The sequence below is a fragment of the Homo sapiens genome, chromosome 2, assembly GCF_000001405.40.
Source record: "Homo sapiens chromosome 2, GRCh38.p14 Primary Assembly".
In the NCBI taxonomy this organism is placed as follows: domain Eukaryota; kingdom Metazoa; phylum Chordata; class Mammalia; order Primates; family Hominidae; genus Homo; species Homo sapiens.
In genome coordinates, this window is record NC_000002.12 from 6,289,995 (window position 1) to 6,294,032 (window position 4,038).

The 4,038-nt window shown below is 46.4% G+C and overlaps 1 annotated feature.

Annotated features, from left to right (window-relative positions):
* Nucleotides 1,211-2,410: an enhancer, noted in NCBI's record as "BRD4-independent group 4 enhancer chr2:6431337-6432536 (GRCh37/hg19 assembly coordinates)". NCBI's record gives its function as "activates an origin of replication core promoter dependent on BRD2, P300/CBP, MED14 and CDK7 cofactors, and independent of BRD4, by STARR-seq in HCT116 cells {active_cell/tissue: HCT116}" and the evidence as "EXISTENCE:reporter gene assay evidence [ECO:0000049][PMID:35650434]".

Sequence of the window (4,038 nt, forward strand, 5' to 3'; positions counted from 1 at the left end):
AGAGGGCTCTTCACTGCTTTTTCTTTGGCTGAGAATGCTCACTTTCTTCTTTCTGGAATTATCTAAATCCTTCTCCTACAAATGCTGTATCAGCCTTCTTGGCCTCTCCAGGTAGACATGACTCCCTCCTGGGTGCTCTGCTGGCTCCTGGTTGTCATGCCATGGCTTTTGCACAGGGATTAGCTGGGCCCTTCCCAGATACCCTTCCCCCACTGAGCTGGGCACTGTCTGTGCTGGGTTCTGCAAGTTCTCATGCATTTCTTAATGATCATTGATATACATTAGTACTACTTTTCCATGACCCATGTAGGGGGTGTAGCTAAAAGCTTTTCAGGGATCTCTGTCAGCTCTAGACCTGACATCTGCACAGCATCTACCAGCCTCTGCCTGCCATGCCAGAGGCTGCTTCGGCAGCCCAGGCCTGATGCGGGATCTGGTCTTGGTTACATAGTCGTTCTGATGTAATGTCTCCCCAGTTGGGGCGCCTGGCCCAGCAGCCCAGCCTGTGGGGTGGAGAGAGGAAGGGAGGAGGCTATGACCTGAGACCAACCCCCTTTGAGGCTGCAAGGGGGCCTCCTGCTTACTTGGATTAGTCAATTAGGTAAATATTACTCCTGGGCCTGTCTGGAAAGAAATAACAAACAACATATTCTGCAAATGGAAAAGCTGATCCAGGCCCAGTGACTGACAATCCAGGTGGTGTCCCCGCCCACCCAGCTCTAAATCAGGGTAGGTCATTAATATGCTAACAACGCTGAAGTCAATTGGCTCCCATGGCGACAGCTCTGAAGCCTTCATGAATAATCCATGCAGCACCTGGAGGCATGAAATTTTCATTGCAGACTTGGTAGAGGAGCTTTGGGTGTGGGGAATCACAAGTGCAAGACACGCCTGGCTCCTGGAGCATGGCGACCCACAGCCCCTTGAGTCTGAGCACAGCACTGGCCACACCCCAGAGCCCCAGAGAGAGCCTGACTCTTGGCCATGTGCCAGGAGACATATAGGCTGGAAGGCTTCAGTCTCTGCATTGAAAACTAGAGCAAAAAAATGGAATTCGTTTTCTAAAAACAGCTCTGATCCTGTGTTCTCTGACAGTCTAGCATGAGCAGAGCACTTCCCAGACACCCTGTCCCAATGCACCCATAACAATCTTAGTCACAATCTTTATCCTACAGAGGGGTCTGACTCAAAGATCCACTTGATTTCAGGCTGCATTTTCCCTTTGCTCTTTTGTTTCCCCTTTACCTTCCCTAAATCTCCATTTTCTTCTTTATAAAACAGGTAGCAACGACGTATCCAAGACACTGTGAGAACTGAATGGAATGCACTTCAAACATTCGTGGCACAGTCTTACATATTCAGCCTTTACCTGCCTCATTGGTGACTGGGAGTCAGCCTTGCTCTCTGATTAAGCTCACCTCTCTCTCTCCACTGAGAAGACATTCTTTTCTTTTTCATAATTTTTTCCAGTCTTCAGGATGTTTATTGAGCAATCAAGTATGGCATGGTTTTCCATGATGTAAAAGCAGGAAGGGGTTGTTTCCGAGAATTAAAACGTTAGACTTCCCTGAGCTGCAGTCTGTTTGTCACTCTAACGAGGATTGTTATTTGAGTGCTGTGGCTTTTATCTTCAGGCGTTGATTGCAGCCACCACTGCCTCCTTGATTCCATTTATATACCAGTCCTTCTCCTTTGGTTCAACGATTCCTTTCCTTTCTTCCTTGTTCAGTTTGACTTGATGTACTTTGATGTTACAGTGGCCTGGATCCTTTGTTTACCTGTTTCAAATTTTATGAACACAAATCACACAGTAAACATGAAGAGAATTTTCATTTCCAAACAGCAAGCTGTTCTGAAATGGGGAATCTTCCCCCATTTTTTTTTCTTTCTTTAAAAAAAAATTTTTTAATGACTAGTGATATGGCTTGGCTGTGTCCCCACCCAAATCTCATCTTGAATAGAAATTCCCATAGTTCCACATGTCATGGGAGGAACCCAGTGGGAGGTGTTTGAATTATGGGGGCAGGTCTTTCCTGTGCTTTTCTTGTGATAGTGAATGAGTCTCACGAGACCTGATGGTTTTATAAAGAAGAGTTTTCCTGCACAAACTCTCTTCTCTTGTCTGCCACCATGTGAGATGTGCCTTTCACCTTCTGCCATTATTGTGAGGCCTTCCCAGCCACGTGGAACTGTAGATTCATTAAATCTCTTTCTTTTGTAAATTGACCAGTCTTGGGTATGTCTTTATCAGCAGTGTGAAAACAAACTAATACAATAAATTGGTACCAGGAGAGTGGGGTGCTGCTGAAAAGGTACCTGAAAATGTGGAAGCAACTTTGGAACTGGGTACCAGGCATAGGTTGGAACAGTTTGGGGGGCTCAGAAGAAGACAGGAAAATGTGGGTAAGTTTGTAGGGACTTGTTGAATGGCTTTTACCAAAATGCTGATAATGATATGGACAATGAAATACAGGCTGAGGTGATCTCAGATGAAGATGAAGAACTTGTTGGGAACTGGAGCAAAGGTGACTCTTGTTATGTTTTAGCAAAGAGACTGGCAACATTTTGCCCCTGACCTAGAGATTTGTGGAGCTTTGAACTTGAGAGAGATGATTTAGAGTATCTGGCAGAAGAAATTTCTAAGCAGCAAAACATTCGAGAGGTGACTTGAGGGCTCTTAAAACCATTCAGTTTTAAAAGGAAAACACAGCATAAAAGTTTGGAAAATTTGCAGCCTGACAATGTGACAGAAAAGAAAGTCTCATTTTCTGAGGAGAAATACAAGCTGGCTGCAGAAATTTGCATAAGTAACAAGGAGCCAAATGTTAATCCCCAAGACAATGGGAAAAATGTTTCCAGGGCATGTCAGAAGTCTTCACAGCAGCCGCCATCACAGGCCTGGAGGCCTAGGAGAAAATGGTTTCCTGGGCTGAGCCCAGGGTCCCTGTGCTGTGTGCAGTCTAGGGACTTGGTACCCTGCATCCCAGTCACTCCAGCCATGAGTAAAAGGGGCCAGAGTAGAGCCTGGGCCATGGCTTCAGTAGGTGCAAGCTGCAAGCCTTGCAGCTTCCACATGATGTTGAGCCTGCGAGTGCACGGAAGTCAAGAATTGAGGTTTGGGAACTTCTGTCTAGATTTCAGAAGATGTATGGAAATGGCTGGATGCCCAGGCAGAAGTTTGCTGTCGGGGTGGGGTCCTCATGGAGAACCTCTGCTAGGGCAATGCAGAAGAGAAATGTGTGGTGGGAGCCCACTCAGAGTTTCTACTGGGACACCACCTAGTGAAGCTTTGAGAAGAGGGCCACCATCCTCCAGACCCCAGAATGATAGATCCATGGACAGCTTGCACCATGCACCTGGAAAAGCTGCAAACACTCAACTCCAGATCACGGAAGCAGCTGGATGGGAGGCTGTACCCTGCAAAGTCACAGGGGTGGAGCTGCCCAAGACCATGGGAACCCACCTCTTGCATCAGCGTAACCTGGATCTGAGACCTGCAGTTAAAGGAGATCATTTTGGAGCTTTAAGATTTGACAGCCTTGTTGGATTTTGGACTTGCGTGGGGCCTGTAGCCTCTTTGCTTTGGCCAATTTCTCCCATTTGGAATGGCTGAATTTACCCAGTGCCTGTACCCCCATTGTAGCTAGGAAGTAATTAACTTGCTTTTGATTTTACAGGTTCATAGGCAGAAGGCACTTGCCTTATCACAGATGAGACATTGGACTATGGACTTCTAAGTTCATTCTGAAATGAATTAAGACTTTGGGGGACTGTTAGGAAGGCATGATTGGTTTTAACATGTGAGGACATGAGATTTGGGAGGGGCCAGGGACAGAATCATATGGTTTGGCTGTGTCCCCACCCAAATCTCATCTTGAGTTGTAACTCCCACAATTCCCAGGTGTCTTGGGAGGTACCTGGTGGGAGGTGATTGAATTAGGAGGGCAGGTCTTTCCTGTGCTTTTCTCATGATAGTGAATGAGTCTCATGAGATCTGATGGTTTTAAAAAGGGGAGTTTCCCTGCACAAACACTTTTC